The 19,532-nt window shown below is 41.9% G+C and overlaps 1 protein-coding gene across 9 annotated transcripts in view, besides 2 other annotated features; it reads right to left on the reverse strand.

Annotated features, from left to right (window-relative positions):
- The window catches only part of UQCC1 (ubiquinol-cytochrome c reductase complex assembly factor 1), a 109,396-nt gene that overhangs the window by 32,492 nt on the left and 57,372 nt on the right, over positions 1–19,532 (reverse strand). For all 9 annotated transcript variants that reach the window (NM_001184977.2, XM_011528878.3, NM_199487.3 and 6 more), the window contains one exon: positions 12,095–12,203. In NM_001184977.2, the coding sequence (NP_001171906.1) occupies positions 12,095–12,203 (109 nt within the window). The remainder of the gene's footprint in view (positions 1–12,094; positions 12,204–19,532) is intronic.
- Positions 9,237–9,531: a silencer, noted in NCBI's record as "tiled region #14546; HepG2 Repressive DNase unmatched - State 25:Art". NCBI's record gives its function as "represses a minimal TATA promoter and a strong SV40 promoter by Sharpr-MPRA in HepG2 cells {active_cell/tissue: HepG2}" and the evidence as "EXISTENCE:reporter gene assay evidence [ECO:0000049][PMID:27701403]".
- Positions 9,237–9,531: an enhancer, noted in NCBI's record as "tiled region #14546; K562 Activating DNase unmatched - State 5:Enh". NCBI's record gives its function as "activates a minimal TATA promoter and a strong SV40 promoter by Sharpr-MPRA in K562 cells {active_cell/tissue: K562}" and the evidence as "EXISTENCE:reporter gene assay evidence [ECO:0000049][PMID:27701403]".

The raw sequence follows: 19,532 nt of genomic DNA on the forward strand, positions 1-19,532 counted from the left end.
AAACATATCTAATTTCATTATAACTAATTTCATTATAACTAACACATATCTAATTTCATTATAAACAAATGAACAATGGAAATCATCTAGGAATTCAAACAACTTGATAAAAGACACAATATCTGAATTCTTCAAAAAGTTTACATAGTGTCACCATATGACCCAGCAGTTCCACTCCTAGGTATACCCCTCAAGAAAGCTGAAAACTTATGTTCAGACATAAACTTATATATGAATGTTCACAGAAGCATTATTCACAAAAGCTAAAAAGTGGAAAGTGGAAAGACTAAATGTCTATTAACTGATTAATAGATTTTTAAAACATGGTATATCTACACAACAGACTATCCCAAAAAGGAATGATGTCGGTCGGGGGAGTTGAGCAAAAAATAAATAAATAAAAAGAAGAAAAAAGACAAAAGAAGGAATGAAGTACTGAAAATATGCCACAACATGACTGAACTTTGAAAACATTCTGCTAAGTGAAAGAAGCCAAACATAAAATACTGCATATTATATGATCCTATTTATATGAAATGTCCCAAATAGGTCAATCCATAGAAACAGAATGTAGAATAGTGGTTTCCAGGGGCTAGGGGTAAGGGGAACGGGTGTGACTGCTAATGGGCACAGGATTTCTATCTGAGGTAATTAAAATATTCTGGAATAGTGGTGATGGGTACATAATGCTGCAAATTTACTAAAAAGCAAATTTACATGTTATGGGATATAAATTATATCTCTATTTTTAAAAACAGAAAAATGGAATATCTGCCCTCTAGAAGCTAACTAACTGGAGAAGCTAGGACCAACATATAAGATGCCTGGCTAGGCGTGGTGGCTTATGCCCAGCACTTTGGGATGCCAAGGTGGGAGGATCACTTGAGCACAGAAGTCCAAGATCAGTGTGGGCAGCACGGAGAGAACCCATCTCTACAAAAAAACCCACAAAAACAAAAACCTAAGATGCTTATGGACTGAAAGGTTCAATGCTACAATACAAGTGGATACTGTGGAAGTTAGAGGAAGAAAGAAACAACACTTGGGTTAAAAATCTTAATGCCAATGCTAGAGCCATAGTTTTTAGTTTCGTACAGAGTAGTAATTAAAAGCACAGGCTCTAGAGTCCAGAAGGTTTGGGTTCCAATCCAGGCTCCCATATTTACTGTGTAAGTCTAATTAAATTGCCTAACAGTGGTAGGTAGGCTGAATTTGGTCTCCTAAAAGATATCCATGTCCCAGTTCCTGGAACCTGTGCGTGTTACCTTATATGGCAAAAAAGGATTTTGCAGCTGTGATCAAATTAAGACACTTGAGATGGGGAGGGAATCCTGGATTACCCAGTTGAGCCCTAAATGCCATCACACATATCCTTCCTTTTAAGAGAGAGGCGGAAGGAACTTAGGCTCAGATAGAAGAAAAGGCAACATGACTACAGAGGCAGAAATTGCAGTGATGCAGCCACAAGTCAAGGAACATCAGCAGCCACCAAGAGCTGGAAGGGGCAAGAGTCTCCCCTAGAACCTCCAGAAGAAGCACAGCCCTGCCGACACCTTAATTTCAGCCCCATGAAACTGATTTCTGGCCTCCGGTACTGTAAGAGAATAAATTTTTGTTGTTTTAAACCACCAAGTTTGTGGTAATCTGCTGTAACTGCTATGGGAAACTATCTCTGAGCCTTAGTTTCCTCATCTGTAAAATGAGGCTAGAAATGTTACTAATCTCACAGGTAAGACTGTTGCAAAATGTTATAAAATTCAAATGGTGCTTGTAAAGTGCATGAAAAAAAGAAAGTGCTCAATAAATGTTAGCTATTACTATTGGGGAACTCTGCTTCTGAATTATGCTGAAATCCTCAAGTTTCACATGTCGTTAGCCCATGCCTAGACCCTGCTCCTCTTAGCGAGGAGAACAGTAACAGTGGCAACAAAGACACCCGAGTTCTACTCTTCAGTGTTTCTAATTTGTACGCAGCTCTTCCAGAGCCAATTTCCCAATCATCTAAATGATATAATTAGTTTAGGAGCAGTGGTTCTCAAACTAGAGAGCTGGTGAAAAGACAGACTGTTGGGTCCCACCCCAGTTTTCAGAAGATCAAGGGTATGCCCTAGAGCTAGCATTCTTTTTTTTTTTTTTTGAGACAGAGTCTTGCTCTGTCGCCCAGGCTAGAGTGCAAATGCACAGTCTAGGCTCACTGCAACCTCCACCTCCCAGGTTCAAGTGATTCTCCTGCCTCAGCCTCCCAAGTAGCTGGGACTACAGGTGCATGCCATCACACCAGGCTAATTTTTGTATTTTTAGTAGAGATGGGGTTTCACCATGTTGGCCAGGCTGGTCTCAAACCCCTGACCTCATGATCCACTCGCCTCGGCCTCCCAAAGTGCTAGGATTACAGGCTTAAGCCACCACATCTGGCCTGAGCTAGCATCCCTAACGAGTTCCCAAGCGATGCTGAGGCTGCTGGTCTGGGGACCACACTTTTAGATCTCTGGATCAGATTATTTCAGGGTTCCTTTCCAGTTTAAACAGTCTAAGATTCCCCAGTAACATCCAACAGATGCAGCACTCAAGTAATAAACACTGCTGTACCATGCTGAAATAGCCTTAAAACTAAGTTCTTTCCTAAGTAAGAGTGGGAGGCCTTGGAGGCTGAGTATGAAGTACATGGTAAAGACTAGTTTTAACTTCTGAACTCAGCAGATTGAGAAATCTAAAGCAATGGTGGAAACAGGAAGAGACTGTCCCCTTATCTAACATGTTGGCCCCATTTTAATTTATCTTAATCCCACCTTTCTGCCTTTTCACCAGACCCCTCCCCGTCACGGTCTCCTCTAGAAACACATCTAGGTGTCTCCTGAATTCATTTATTGGCTTTGCCGCACACAGTATAATACCGCCTTTGTTAGTCTCCTGGCCCGGCCCCTTCAAGCACGGTGTTCAGTCTCGGTGTTCCTCTACCCTTAAAAAAAACACACAACCAAGGAGTCTCTGAAAAATAATTGTAAAATCAACTAAGGCAAATTCAGATGATGTAGAGACACTCAGACTCTAAACGATGGAAAAAGAAACAAATTCAGAACATTGTCAGCATTCTCATGTCTTTTTTTTCCCCCTTAATCTCTATTAGTCCTGTTGAGTAGGAAGTCTCTGCCGTATTGGATTAGAAATTGAGTAAAAGAGGCCTCAGGCTTGGGAGTGCACTGAAGAAATAAATGGAATGCCTTTAGATTCAAGAAAAGCTGTCCTCTTGGTCTTTGGCAGTCCTTGGTAATAAGACAGGAGAAAAGGTTTCTTTCTTTCAATTGGAAGGTACCATGGTATAGTAAAGAGGACACTGGACTGGAAATTGGTGTAATCTGGCCTTGGTCCTCATTCTGCTATTCTCTAGCTGTATGACCTTGGCCAAATCAATGAACTTTTCTGGGCATCCATTTCCTCACCACAGAAATGAGAGGGTAGAACCTTAACCAGAAATATGTATTAGAAATCTTTTGGGGCCGGGCACGGGGGCTCATGCCTGTAATCCCAGCACTTTGGGAGGCCGAGCGGGTGGATCACTTAAGGTCAGGAGTTTGAGACCCACCTGGCCAACATGCTGAAACCCCGTCTCTACTAAATGTAAAAAATCAGCCTGGCATGGTGGCATGAGCCTGTAGTCCCAGCTACTTGGGAGGCTGAAGCAGAAGAATCGCTTGAACCCGGGAGGTGGAGGTTGCAGTGAGCTGAGACCACACCACACAACACTGAACTCCAGACCGGGCGAGAAAGCAAGACTCCGTCTCAAAAGAAAAAAAAAAAAAAAAAAAAAAAAAAAAAAAAAAAAATATATATATATATATGGAGAGATTTTTCAAAATGCATATACCTGAGCCTCTTCACAGACTCAGAACCGCTGAATAGAGAACCTCTGAGGTACCCAGTCTGACATTCCAAGGTTCATCCATCCTATAAAGCAGATTAAGTGTATAACCAGGCTTAAATGAGAGCCAGGGAACCCATGAGGCAGGGCAGAGAAAAACCGGACCTTTTTCAAAGGGGGAGGGTAGTTAGAGAAATTGAATCCAAGTGTAATCAGAGAAGATCATTCTTCAGTCAGTATTTGGAATACAGGGCTAGCCAGATGCTAACAAAAGAAGCAAGTATTTATGTTCATCCAACACATATTTGAGTAGTGACTACGGTAGGCATGTGGTTTAAGACACCAGAAATCCAAGAATCCTTATCCCATCTAACAGGAGTGACCTACATAAACCATGAGCACACCATGGTAAGTTCAGAGAAGGGAGTGGCCAGATATATGAACATTATTGGTGAATACTGGAAAAAGCTTCTTGGAGGAGGTGTTATCCAGCTTGTGTCTTATAGTGCCATGAGCAGACAGGGGAGAAGACCAGATCAGACGGAATAGCATAAACAAAAGCCTAGAGGCATAAAAGAACACAGCACACTTACGGCACCAGTGAAAGTCTGGCATGAGAAGAATATGTATTTGTGTGCATGCACTTGAACTTTTTTGGAGGGAAGGGGTATGATTTGTTGCAGATTAAACTAGAAGAATGGGCTGGAGCCAGAACATGAATACTTCTTTTCTCTCCAATTTTTTGCTTTGAAGAATTTCAAAGAATTTTTAAAGGATGTAAGAGTAATACAACAAAAACTCATATAAGTTGTTTTGAGATCTGCAACTTCAAATGGTTCAGCAAAAGAAAAGGGTGTGTATATGTATGGGTAGAGATAAAGCAAATGTTGCAAAAGATTCAGCATTTTGCACAATCTTAGATGCACAATTTTTTTTTGCAACATTTGTTTATCTCTATCCATACATCTACACATCCTTTTCTTTTGCTGAACCATTTGAAGTTCCAGATATCAAAACATTTTACCCCTAAATACTTCAATATGTATCTGCTAAGAACAAGCACGTTCTCCTATGTAACTACAAGGGTTCTATATGCATCCTTACCCACTCTAATAGGAGGGATCTATATAAACCAATAATTACAGCACATCATGGTAAGTTCTATCTCTGAAGTTGGTGTAGTGCTGCAGTAACGCAGAGTCCGATGTGCCACTCAGGACAGGACTGGCACCCTGACTGTATGCACCTATGCATCTGACCAGTTGTAAAACTGCCTGAGGCACCTACTCCTCGAACTCTTGCTACCTCTTAAGGCCTAGGGGTAGGAAACATGTGTAAAGAAAGGCATGTATCTACCAGACGTACATGTTCAGTAGGACCCTGCTTAAATTCGTAAGCCAATCCCAAAATGGAATTACTCTGACTTCTTAGAATTTAGCCTTCTCTCCCCTAATAACTGACTATCCACTCCAACAGCTCAGGCCATTTTAGAAACTTTCAAAAGAACAACTGGTATCTGAGAACATGTATTCTTATTTTCATGGCCTCAAGCCCAAGGGACTGTCCTTTAGTTACACTCACACTTTTTTCCCCCCACCCAAGCTGGAGTGTAACACTGTGATCACAGCTCACTGCAACATCAAACTCCCTGGCCCAAGTGATCCTCCCACCTCAGCCTCCCACAGAGCTGAGACCACAGGCATGTGCCACCATAACCGGCTAATTTTATTTTTGTAAAGATGGGGTCTCCCTACATTGTCCAGGCTAACTATACCTTTTAATGTGCTCCTTGTCTTTAAAAACAATACCTTTGGCAGTGAGTTTTAATTCTGACCTAGAGATGCAAAACAGTAAAATTTTTATATCGTAAAATAGAAGAGGTCTGAAAATTTTTGTAGGGAAAGAGAGGCGATTTGGTGACAGGTGGTGATTACAGAGGCCTGAAAGGAAATTTTCAGAAAAACTAAAGCCTCCTAAAATGTAATGCCTTTGTTAGTTTAGAAAGATAAAATACCAGCCGGGGGTGGTGGTGGCTCATGCCTGTAATCCCAGCACTTTGGAAGGCCGAGAAGGGCGGATCACCTGAGGTCAGGAGTTCGAGACCAGTCGGGCTAACATGGTGAAACCCTGTCTAAAATTACAAACATTAGCCGGGTATGGTGCACGCCTGTAATCCCAGCTACTCAGGAGGCTGAGGCAGAAGAATCGCTGGAACCCAGGAGGCAGAGGTTGCAGTGAGCCAAGGTCGCGCCACTGTACTCCAGTCTGGGTGACAGAGAGAGACTCCGTCAAAAAAAAAAAAAAAAAAAAGAAAGAAAGAAAGAAAGAAAATAAACATAATATACCCTATGTATAACCTGGGGTTTTTAAAAAATCAAGTAATTCCATTAGAAGATGGAAAAGTATGGGAAAAAGGAACTGAACAGTTGATGGTGGGGGAAACGATTTATTTCCTTTTCTTCCAATATTTAAGACTAACACAGCAAACAAATATCCTCAGAATAAAAAACGGTATCTCCCTGCCCCACTTTTTCCAGTACTCATTCTGGGCCTGCAGGACTGGCTTCCTTCATTCTTCAGATAGTTACTGGGCACCTATTCAGGAAAGGGGCAATAACAGGCACTTTGGAGACAGATGTACGTGATCCTGCACCACAGGAATTCACCTGGAAGACAGTCAACATAAGTGAATAACAGTGATACAAAATAGAAAGAGTAAGAGCTGGAAGAAGGGTAGATATAAATCATTAAGGTACTTCCTTAGGGGAAACTGGGATTGGCTTCCAGTTAGCTGTGGAAGGATGTGAAGGAATTGAGGCTGGGGTGTTAGGGCAATCTAGGTGTATGCATGGAGTGAGCAAAGACACAAGACAGAAATAGCAAGGAATTCAGCTTGGCTGGAGTGAAGGGTATGTGAAGCAAGGATGGAATGTGATGTTCACTGAGTGCTTACTAAGTGCCAGGCACATGTGCTAGTAGGTTTCACATATTTAAGGTTCAAGAAGAACTAGAGGAAATGAGTTTGGAGAGGTGGTCTGGAGTGTGATCGTAGAGGACCTTACAAAGCAAAATGGTGGTTCTGAGAAGCAAGGCAGAATTACACAAGAGTCAAGTTCAGCCCACAGTTCCTCCATTTTTCCTAGGCCCTCTGCATCATCCCATCAAGCAGCTCTGCTAGAGAGTGAGCAGGGGACCATGAGGTGACAGAAGGTGCATTCTTATTCCAGAAGTCTCACTGAGGCAACAGGCATGCCAGGGACCGCTGATAAGGGTAAACTGTAATTTCTCAACTACAGCCCACTCCCATCCCTTCCCATCTCTGTCTTGGAAAGCTTGAGCCTGCTCATTGTGAGCCACAAGGTGGAGATGTCTGGCAGGGCAGAACTGAGAGGAAGTCGTTTAGCCAGCCTAAGGTTACCATTAACACTTTGAGCCACTGCCGTGAGCTAATTTTTATGTTTGTTTTTTAAGTTTGGTTGAAATGTCACAAATGGAAAAATTAAGTAAAGCGCCCTGGTTAGCCACAAGACTGGACACACCTGGCTGCAAACCCAGCAAAAGAAACTTACTTCATTAGTAGGAGAGGCAGAGAGTGAAATTTACATCTGAAATCTGCCTGCACCAGGAGAAAGTGCTGAGGCCAAAGGCGCTGTCTGTTTTTACAGCTGTGTCAAGACTTAGTTCTTTACTCTTACCAACACTCAGGAGTGCGGCAAGGGCCCAAGGAAAAATGGTCTCCAAGCTCTTCAGCTGCAACTCAGCTCACAAAGATTTTTAAGAAGCAGTTAATGAAATAAAACTAGACCAGATGAGGTGATATAATGAACTTTATTTCCACAGCTAATTTATAAGTTTAAATCCCAAATAATGTTTTTTTAAGTCAGAACACTCTAAATTATTGATGTGATTTTTGTAACCTCAAATTTAACACCTGCTTTTTGTACCAGCTTCACGATGATATATGAGTCTGCTCCATTTTTCACAATAGTTGGGCTCCAAAAAGTTGGTGAAAAGCAAATTTTTGTAAAATAAAAAATTTCCCACCAAATCAGAATAGAATTCTAATTTCAAAGGAGTTTTTGATGCAAATTTATTATTCATCACTAACTCGAAAGTGGCTCTCTTATTTCTTGATCTTCCACACACCAATCCACTCAAAGCAATCACCTCTAAGTTTTTGGCATGAGAAAAATCACTACTACATTGATTGGTTTTATAAATTCTACATTTTATATGTTTTCTTACAGAGGTACACCTGGGATGCCAAATAACACAGAGATAGATTTGCAAATTACCACCTTCAAACCATAGATTTTCAAGCTGAAAAAAAGCTGAAAACTTGGGGCTCATGTAGTTAGGCCTCCCCTGTCCCCACCTTTCTTTTAATACAGAAACTGAAGCACAGAAGAGGAAAGATTTGCCAGTCAGGGTGAGAACCAGGCCAGACTGGCTCTACACTGCCTATTACTTCTCCCTAGCCACGTGTCCCATTTATAGGTTGTACACACACGGAAGACTGAGATCCCCTCAAACACACACATGCACTCACACTCATCCATGCATGCACTCACAACCCAGTGATTAATATACAATTGTCTTGCCTATATAAGGCATGTCTATTTATGCCATGAGGTTAGAAAGAAGGTATCAAGTCAACTATAGCAGAAAGCAGTAATAGTAATTCCCCAACTCTTCCAAATCTCTATTATTTTAAAACCATCATCCTTTAGTTATAGTCTTTGTAACTAAACCGGAATTTGGGCACTTCTCTTCATGAAGGCAATTTAAGAGCCTGTATTGGGGGACCACCTAAAACCTTGCTATTGTCCCCTACCCCACCCTGCGTCACTAGCAACATCCGCATCACCTGGAAGCTTTTCAGAACTGTAGATTTTCTCACCCCTGTCCTGAAACTTACTGAATCAGAATCTGTATTTTAACAAGATCCTCAGGTGAACCATAGGCACATTAAAGTATGAGAAACGCTGATCTAAAACACTCCCTTATGGGGCAGCACCCTATCTACAACAATCCAAATAGAAAAAACGGCTGGATAAAATGCGATAGGGGAAAAATTCCCCAATTCCTGCAGGACTGCACTGATATACACTTGGATCAGAGACTAATAAAGCAGGTATGATTTATCTAATAAATGTTAGCTTAAAAAAGAATTCCAAAGGCTGGTATTCAATATATTCATTTATTTGACAATTATTTATTCATTTGACAATTATTCAATGTTTACTGCATAAGCAAAAAACTGAATAAGACGGTTTTCTGCTTTTATAAAACTTACAGTTAAGTAGAAGGGACACTGCATAAGAAGTAACATGGGAGAAGGCTCAAGTGTTGACAACTGTGATGAAGAGAGATGGAGGTCCAGAAGGAAATTCAACTGTGGCGAGAGGCAACTAAAAGGTTCCTGCAGTCCAGGAGTCAGCAACCTATGGCTCATTAAGCTATTCAGGATAGAGACAGCTGTGGCTCATATGGCTAGTGAGACAACTTCCAACAGAGTTTAGTCAACAATGATAAGAAGAACAGTTTCACTACAGGAAGAGCTACTGCGCAACTGCCTGGCAGTCAGCCAGGGCTTTGGCTGACCAGGAGGTATCTCTGGCCATCATTAAATAGGACTGAGACTGCCAACACCACCTTATGTCCACTGTGCACTGCTACAGAGTTGGGTGGTAAGTACTTGAGGGCATGTGGGAACATTCAGCTGGATGAATACCTTAAAGGCTGCCGATCTCACTCTGGGCAGCTGTGATATTGTGAAATATATAGTTGGTCTTCAACTCCCTTCCTGGCATACAACTCCTAAAATCTTTGGCCTTTCCAAAGTGGTGTCATTTTGTATGCTAATGATTGGTGGCTGGCGCACTTAGGTAGCTTCAGGGTAGGGGCTGGTCACTGAAAAACCAAGGGAGGATTAGAAGGTTAGGACTTTCTGTCCCATCTCCCAACCTCCAAGGAGGGCAGAGAGGCTGACTGATTTCCAATGGCCAGTGGTTTAATCAGTTGTGCCTACATAATGCAGCTTCCATAAAACCCTTAAAAGGACTGGGTTTGGGGCACTTCCAGATAGCTGAACAGGTGGAGGTTTCTGGACAGCTGCACACCAGGAAAGGTATGGAATCTCCTCACCCCTTCCCCCATCTTGTCCTATGCATCTCTTCATCTGTATCCCTTGCAATATCCTTTATAATAAACCGGTAATGTAATAAGTGTTTCCCTGAGTTCTGTGAGCCGCTCCAGCAAATTAATTGAACCAAAGAAAGGGGTGGGGAACCCCAATTTATAATCGGTTGGCCAGAAGCACAGGTAAAACAGCCTGGAGCTTGCAATTGGTGTGGCAAGTTGGGGGCAGTCTTGTGGGCAGAGCCCTCAACCTGTGGGATCTGACACTATCTCCGAGTACACAATGTTGGAATTGAATTGGGTTAGAGGACACCCACCTGGTGACCTCTCTCCAGAATTGACTGCCTGTTTGCTGTGTGGGGAGAAACTCCCACAAATGTGTCACAGAAACCTTCTGTGTAATTGTAATTGAGTGAGAGAGCTGAAAAAATACTTTTTTTCTCTATATTACACAGCAGCTACGACAGAAAGAAAGCAAAAAATGAAAAAGGAACCAAAAAGGATGATTACAAAGATAGCTCTCAGGCGAAGGATACGCATCAACTCAAAAATGGTTACTTTTCTCCTTCCTTGAAGGTAAGAAAAAATAACATAAAAAATAAAAAAGGTTACTTCTGGGGAGTTAGACTGGGGGGAAAAAAGACACTTGTTTTTTACACTCAATACTTTTTACTCTTTGATTTCTATTCTATGAGCATATGTAACTTTTATAATATGTTTATTTCTCAGTCCACAGGGAGAACTTTGCCCTGTAATGAAAGAAACCAAATTAACCCATTTCATGACCCAGTCATGGTTCTACTTTGGATGCTCCCAAGCTGGGAGGCAATGAAATGCTTCCCAGTAACAGGGAACTACAAGCTACTAAAACGTGATCTAGATACACAAAATACACAACATAAACAAAAGAAGATACTAGTGGGAGGTGAAGCCAGCTGGGCTTCTGGGTCGGGTGGATACTTGCACCAATCAGTGCTCTGTGTCTAGCTAGAGGATTGTAAATGCACCAATCAGCATTCTGTAAAAACGCACCAATCAGCGCTCTGTGTCTAGCTACAGGATTGTAAATGCACCAATCAGCACTCTGTAAAAACGCACCAATCAGCACTCTGTAAAATGGACCAATCAGCAGACATGGGCAGGGACAAATAAGGGAATAAAAGCTGGCCACCCTAGCCAGCAGTGGCAACCCGCTCAGGTCCCCCTTCCACACTGTGGAAGCTTTGTTCTTTCGGTCTTCACCATAAATCTTGCTGCTGCTCACTCTTTGGGTCCGCACCACCTTTAAGAGCTGGTAACACTTGCTGTGAAGGTCTGCGGCTTCATTCTTGAAGTCAGCGAGACCACGAACCCACTGGAAGGAAGAAACTCCGGACACACCATCTTTAAGAGCTGTAACACTCACAGCGAAGGTCTGCGGCTTCATTCTTGAAGTCGCGAGACCAAGAACCCACCACAAGGAACCAACTCCGGACACACTATGATCTGTATAACCAGCTATATTCTAGTGTTTTGGTTTCATTTTTCTATTGTCATTACATCCCATGTGACATATATATATATATAATATATTCCCCTTTCTCAGGTTAATTATTAAATGTACTAATGTACATTTTCAGGAGGTATCTTACCAGACTCTTCTAGGTTGCCAGTGATCAAGGAGCTTGAGTTTCAGTTCCTGAAGACAGTGCAGGCCCCATACCAGGGCCTCCCATCAGAACTAATTTATAGAAGGACTGGTTCAAATATTGAACTGGTGTCAAAGGTATAGTATCCTTAACTGGATTATCATTTGATTCCCTCCATTCACCAAATCCATCCCTCCTATCACCACGATTTGGGCTTTACAATCCCATCTCCATACAGGATGACTTCACACTGACAAATCACTATAATGTGTACAAACACATAAAGTATCTGTGGAGTATTAGTTTCCACAGAGGCAGAAAAAGTGACTTTAGCGGAACTGCCACTTGATATTAGGCAGCATTTCACAGAAATCTAAAAGCAGGGCCATTTTACAACAGATAAAACTCCAAACTCAAACCCTTCTCTGGAATTGTCCAGGACAAGCATCTGACAGCACTCACTTACCCCCATGACTCTGCCGCGCTGCTGAACATCCTCCCACATAAAATGAACTATGATACGACACATGTACTTCCCACTCCGGCCTTCCTGCTTCATTCGGACTAGACACATCCTGGGTGGGAAGAAGACAAAAAAAGTCTTGGCTGTTTGCATTTTTCACATCACACATTTCCACTGAAGGTCTCCTCATCTAAGAGTGAGTTTAGCAAAGGGCACCAAATCAAACTGGAAGTGAACTTTTTTTTTTTAAACTTTTACTGAGATATAACAAAGATACTATTAAGTGTATAAATCTTAAGTGTACTGCCTGATAAATTTTTATGTATTATACATACACCCACACAAGCACCACCCAGATCGAGATACAGATTATTTAGGGCACCTCTGAAGGCTCCCTCATACCTGGAGGGAACCACATTTTTTTGTTAGAAGACAAACAAGTCTGAATCCTTCATTTTACTGATGAAAGCAGGAGTCCTAAAGACGGAAAGTAATTTGCCCAACACCAGTTTTATATCCGTAAAACTGGGTATAGAACTGTGCTGTCCAATACAGTGGCTCCCCTGTGGCTATTGAGCATTTTAAATACAGCTAGTCAAAGCTGAGATGTGGCACAAGTTTAAGATTTCAAAGATTTAGTTGAAGAAAAAGAATATAAAATATCTCAATTTTTAATACTGCTTTCATGTTGAAATAATATTTCAGATATACTGGGTTACATACAATCTATTAAAATTTGTTTCTTTTTACTTTTTCAAATGTAGATACTAGAAAATTTTAAATTACATACATGGCTTGCGTTATATTTCTGTTGGACAACACCTGTCCAGAACACAGATCACAGAAAGTATTATGATTACATTTGTGTAATTATCCAATTGTTTCCCCCACTAGAAGGTAAGCTCTACTGAAGATAAAGATCAAATCTGGTTTTTGTCAACATTTTATTTCCAGGGCTTAAGTACAGTAGGCACTCAATATACACTTGCTGAATAAATAAATGAACAAACACCTATGGTTAGGGCCAAGTTTAGGACCTTTTCCCCTATACCACATTTGCCTCTAGTCAGTCCAGAGGGCTTTCTGAATAATCAAGACCTCACATAATCTAAACATACAAGAATTATATTTTATTATATATAGGAATATAAGCAGGGTCCCCAACTTTTCAAACTAGTTCCTCATTTCATGCATGACCATAGTTCATTCTTTTTTGTTTTGTTTTGTTTTGTTTTGTTTTGTTTTTTGAGACGGAGTCTCGCTCTGTCACCCAGGCTGGAGTGCAGTGGCGCCATCTCGGCTCACTACAAGCTCTGCCTCCCGGGTTCTTGCCATTCTCCTGCTTCAGCCTCCCAAGCAGCTGGGACTACAGGCGCCTGCCACCACACCCAGCTAATGTTTTTGTATTTTTAATAGATATGGGGTTTCACTGTGTTAGCCAGGATGGTCTCAATCTCCTGACCTGTGATCCACCCGCCTCAGCCTCCCAAAGTGCTTGTTTTCTCCTTTTTGAGACAGGGTCTCATTCTGTCACCCAGGCCGGAATGCAGTGGCACAAACACAGCTCACTGTAGCCTCAACCTCCCGGGCTTAAGGGAGCCTCCTGCCTCAGCCTCCTGTGTAGCTGAGATTACAGGTGTGCACCACCACGCCCAGCTAATTTTTTATTTTTTTGTAGAGACGGGGGTCTCAATTTGCTGTGCAAGCAGATCTCAAACTCCTGGGCTCAAGACTTCCTCCCACTTTAGCCTCCCGAAGTGTGGGGATTACAGGTGTGAGGCACCATGCCTGGCAGACTATAATTTTTATTGTTTCTCATTAAATAGCTTATTAAGCAGCTACAATAGGATTACTCACCTAAAAGACAATTCCTGTTATAATTATGGAATAGTTAATCCAACCTGACAATTCTATATCCATACACAATTGATCTTGCCAATTAAAATCTACCAGCAATAGTAATGGTACAATGAAATGATTACAGCTTGGCCTGTCTCAACATCTTTGTTAATAACTAAGATGGAGAAAAGAAAACATATTTACCAAATTTGCAGGTGACAAGAAGCTGGGCAGGAGAACAAATGTGCCAGATGATCCAACCATGAACCAAAAATACTTCAACAGGTTGAATCTAACAAGATCAACCTAATGGGGATAAATTCAGGATCCTGCATTTGAGTCTAAAAGAACAACTGTAAAAGTACAGCACAGATAAGTCATGCCTACCTATGTGTGAAAAGACTTATAGGCTTAAGTTGATATTATGTGCTCAGTAGGAATCAAGAGGATAACAATGCTGCCCTCCAAATTAATGTGATTTTAGATACAGTAATGCAAATATAATACCATCAATGTGTAAAGTGAGACTTTTGTTATACTCAACACAAACCAGAACGTATTTGGAATACTATCCACAGTTTTGAACATTACATTTTAAGAAATAGGAGGACTAGAAGTATCTTAAGAAGACCAGAAGATATTTAACCTGGAGAAAAACAGGAAAGTTGACTTAAACATTGTAGAAAAGCAATTAAACTGTTTACCAAAGAGAATCAGGTCAGGCCTGGTGGTTCACACCTATAATCCCAGCATTTGGGAGGCCAAGGCAGGAAAATCACTTGAGCCCAGATGTTTGAGACCAACCTGGGCAACACAGTTGGACCCCGATTCTACAAAAAATATGAAAATTAGTCAGGTGCCGTGGTGCATGCCTGTAGTCCCAGCTACTCAGGAGGCTGAGGCAGGAGGATCCCTCCCAAAAGGTCAAGGCTGCAGTGAGCCACGATGGTGCCACTGAACTCCAGTCTGGGTAATGGAGTGAGACCCTGTCTCAACAAACAAACAAACAAACAAACAAACAAAACCAAAGAGTTAGAATCAGAACCAATGGGCAGGCCATAGAGGGAGAAAGATATAATCAACATTGAACAGCAAAATTAAAAGCTTACTAACAGGAATGTCTAAAGTTTTGTTTTTTTAATTTTAGAGACAGGGTCTTGCTCTGTCACCCAGGCTGGAGTGCAGTGACACAATCATAGCCCACTGTAACTTCAAATTCTTGGACTCAAGCCATCCTTCCACCTCGGCCTCCCAAAGCCCTGGGATTATAGGCATGAGCCACTGTGCCTGGCCTGAGTGTCTGAAGATTTGAATAATCAAACTGACAACCTCAAAAAGTAGAGAATTTGTCTGTCACGGAGAAGTGAATCAACGCTTGGTGGGAACTCGGGTATCTGACAGAAGGTTGACAACATGACCAGGTGCAGTGGCTCACACCTGTAATCCTAGCACTTTGGGAGGCCAAGGCCAGTGGATCACCTGAGGTCAGGAGTTCGAGACCAACCTGTCCAACATGGTGAAACCCCATCTCTACCAAAAACACAAAAATTAGCCAGGTGTGGTGGTGTGCGCTTGTAATCCAGCTACTCCAGAGGCTGAGGCAGGAGAAATGCTTGAACCCAGGAGGCAGAGGTTGCAGTGCCAAGATCGCACCACTGCACTCCAGCCTGGGCGACAGAGTGAGATTCCATCTGAAAATAAAAAGAAGGCTGACTACATGATCCCAAATGAGATTTACTGATGTGATTCGAAACTTGTAGGCCAGGCGCAGTGGCTCACACCTGTAATTCCAACACTTTGGGAGGCCGAGGTGGGTGGATCACCTGAGGTCAGGAGTTCAAGACCAGCCTGACCAACATGGTGAAACCCCGTCTCTCCCAAAAATACAAAAAATTAACCGGGCGTGGTGGTACAAACCTGTAGTCCCAGCTACTTGGGAAGCTGAGACAGGACAATTGCTTGAACCCGAGGGGTGGAGGTTGCAGTGGGCCAAGATCGCGCCACTGCACTCCAGCCTGGTCAAAAGAGCAAGACTCTTGTCTCAAAACAAAAAAACAAAAAACCTGTAACCTCTGACCCCAGGTAGTGCTTAAGAAATAGCACTTTGTAGGCTGGGTGTGGTGGCTTACACCTGTAATCCCAGCACTTTGGGAGGCTGAGGTGAGCGGATTACTTGAGGTCAAGAGTTCAAGACCAGCCTGGCCAATGTGGTGAAACCCTGTTTCTACTAAAAATACAAAAATTAGCCAGGTATGGTGGCGCGTGCCTGTAATCCCAGCTACTCGAGACACTGCGGCAGGAGAATCTCTTGAACCCGGGAGGCAGAGATTGCAGTAAGTCAAAGATCACGCCACTGCACTCCAGCCTGGGCAACAGGGCAAGACTCCATCTCAAAAAAAAAAAAAAAAAGCACTTTGTGACAATAATGAAACAGGTCACAGAAAAAAGATTTGGCTACTTTATAGGACACAGAGCCTATTCCACAGCAGAAACAAACTGGGGAAAAGTTCAACAGTCCTTTTTCATAAGACTTTTCTAAAGTTAATCAAATCCCTCATGTCAGCCTCTCACCTGAAAAGACGCTGTGTGTTTTGATGCTTAAGTGTTGTCAGAGGCCAATTCATCAACAGCAATAGTGAGGTAATGGAATTCTTCATTTATTTGAAAATTCTGTAGTTTGTTAATACACCTGCCCTCTGAGGTTTAAAAGGCACAGATTTTCTCAGACCATAAACTTTCTAACTGTATCAACATGGGATGAAGTGTTTTTTGTTTCACAACACAGTTTGTTCTATAGCCCTTACAGATAACAGTGGGCTCAAATGGTTATCCAGTTGAAAAGATAAGGCAAAATGAAGACACTTTCAAAATGGTGACTGACAATTCACTCAATGAACACAGGAGTTCCTATTGTGTGAAGGTGTATGGTTGGATGCTGTGGGGATTATAGTGATGGCTAAAACTAGAACCCAGCTTTTATGGAGCAGTTTCCTCTAGGGGAGATAAGGTACACCACACATCAACAGCCCTAAAAGGGAATGCCATAGATCTCCCAAGAGAAGAGTGCAATGAAGTTTAAAAGGATGACTTTTGGCTGAGTAGAATCAGAGAAAGCTTCATGGAAAATGAAACACTGTACCTGGATCTTAGAAGGATAAGCTGAAGTTGAAGAGGTTGAGACAAAAGACAAAGGGAATGTCCAGCTGATGGAATGTTCTAAGCAAAGGCAGGGCCATGGAAGAGTTCAGGATGTTAAGGTAACAATGAATACCTAGATTGTGGGGAGGACAGGGTATAGGATGCAGAAAACTGAAGCCAGAAAGGTCATGAAGAGCTTTGAAATGACTTGCTAAGAAAAAGTATGGACTTTGCTCAGCAGAGAGTGGCCAGCTACTGGAAGAAGATTCGCTCCTTAGCACTGACCGGAGATGAGTCTCTGAGAAGTTAACCTTTTCTTCCCAGCCTCAATCCTATAATTAAATATACAAATATCACCAGGGCTGGAAAAGGACAAATTTGGTGAATATAGTCATGTACCACATAACAATTTTGGTCAGCAAGAGACCACACATATGAGAGTGGTCCCATAAGATTATAATGGAGCAGAAAAATTCCTATCACCTGGTCTAGATGATCCTGACCTGGTAGAGGCCTAGGCTAATGTGAGTGTTTGAGTCACAGTTTGGTTTTTGTTTTTTTCAGAGACAGGTTCTCACTTTGTCACCCAGACTGCAGTGCTGTGATACAATCACATCTCACTGTAACCTCAAACTCTTGGACTCAAGCTATCCTCCTGCCTCGGCATCCTAAGTAGCTAGGACTACGGGTGCACGCCACTGAGCCCGGCTAATTTTTTAAATTTTTTTGTAGAGGCAGGGTCTCACCATCTTGCCCAGGCTGGTCTCGAATTCCTGGGCTCAAGTGATCTACCTTGGCCTCCCAAAGTGCTAAGATACAGGCACGAGCCACTGCGCCCAGCTCTATGTCTTAATTTTTAACAAAATTTTTAAAAGTAGAATAAAATTTAAAAAAACAGAAAAAAGGTTACAGAATAACAATATAAAGAAAGCTATATAATGTGTGCTTTAAGCTTAAAATGTCAGAGTCAAAAAGTTTTTTTAGGTTGGGAACAGTGGCTCACACCTGTAATTCCAGCACTTTGGGAGGCCGAGGCAGGTGGATTACTTGAGGTTAGGAGACCAGCCTGGCCAACATGGTGAAACCCTATCTCTACTAAAAATACAAAAATTAACCAGGCATGGTGGCGCGTGCCTGTAGTCCCAGCTACTCAGGAGGCTGAGGCAGGAGAATCACTTGAACCCGGAGGTGGAGGTTTCAGTGAGCTGAGATCATGCCACTGTACTCCAGCCTGGGCAACAGAGCAAGACTCTACCTAAAAAAAAAAAAAAAAATTTAAATTAAAAAGTTTATAAAGTATAAATGTTACAGTAAGTTAAGTTTAATTTATTATTGAAGAAAAAATTTCAAAATAAATTTAATGTAGCCTATGGCCAGGTGTGGTGGCTCACACCTGTAATCCCAGCACTTTGGGAGGCCAAGGTGGGAGGATTGCTTGAGGCCAAGAGTTCAAGACCAACCAAGGTAACAAAGTAAGACCCCACCTCTACAAAAAAACGTAAAAATTAGCCAAATGTGGTGGTAAGCGTCTGTAGTCCCAGCTACTAAGGAGGCTGATATGGGAGGATTGCTTCAGCCTGGGAGGTCAAGGCTGCATTGAGTTGTGATTGTACCACTAAATTCTGGCCTGGATGACAGAGTGAGACCCTGTCTAAAAAAAAAAAAATTAGCTTAGCTTAAGTGTACAGTGTTTATAAAGTCTACAGTAGTATACAGTAATATCTGACTCATCCAGAGCAACTTCTAGTTCTGCAAGCTGTATTTATGGTAAATATCTTATACAAGAATACCATTTTTTATTTCTTATATTGCATTTTTACTGTACTTTTTGTATGTTTAGATACATTTAGATACACAAATACTTACCATTATAACTGCTTACAGTATTCAGAACAGTAATAAGTTGTATAGGTCTATAGCCTAGGAGCCATAGGTCATACCATACATCCTAGGTATATAACAGGCTATACCACCGAGGTTTGTGTAAGTATACTCTATGATGCCCACACAATAATGAAATACCTAATGATGCATTTCTCAGGACAGATCCCCATCATTAAGCAACACATGACTGAATTTACTTTAATAGAACATCATTTTCAGAATATTCTGATCCAGAAATATAAACTAAAGATTATACCTGCCTTTTGAGAAATATACAACCAGCAAAGATTGTTATAACCTGTACCTAATTTTGCTGATACTAACAGTTTAGAAGACATGGATTGACACCTGAAAATAAAAGGAGGGCAAATTCTCTTTTTTTTTTTTTGTTTTGAGACAGAGTCTTGCTCTGTCGCCCAGGCTGGAGTGCACTGACGCAATCTTGGCTCACTGCAAGCTCCGCCTCCTGGGTTCACGCCATTCTTCTGCCTCAGCCTCCCGAGTAGCTGGGACTACAGGTGCCCGCCACCACACCGGGCTAATTTTTTGTATTTTTAGTGGAGACGGGGTTTCACAGTGT

This window comes from Homo sapiens, chromosome 20, assembly GCF_000001405.40.
Source record: "Homo sapiens chromosome 20, GRCh38.p14 Primary Assembly".
NCBI lineage: Eukaryota > Metazoa > Chordata > Mammalia > Primates > Hominidae > Homo > Homo sapiens.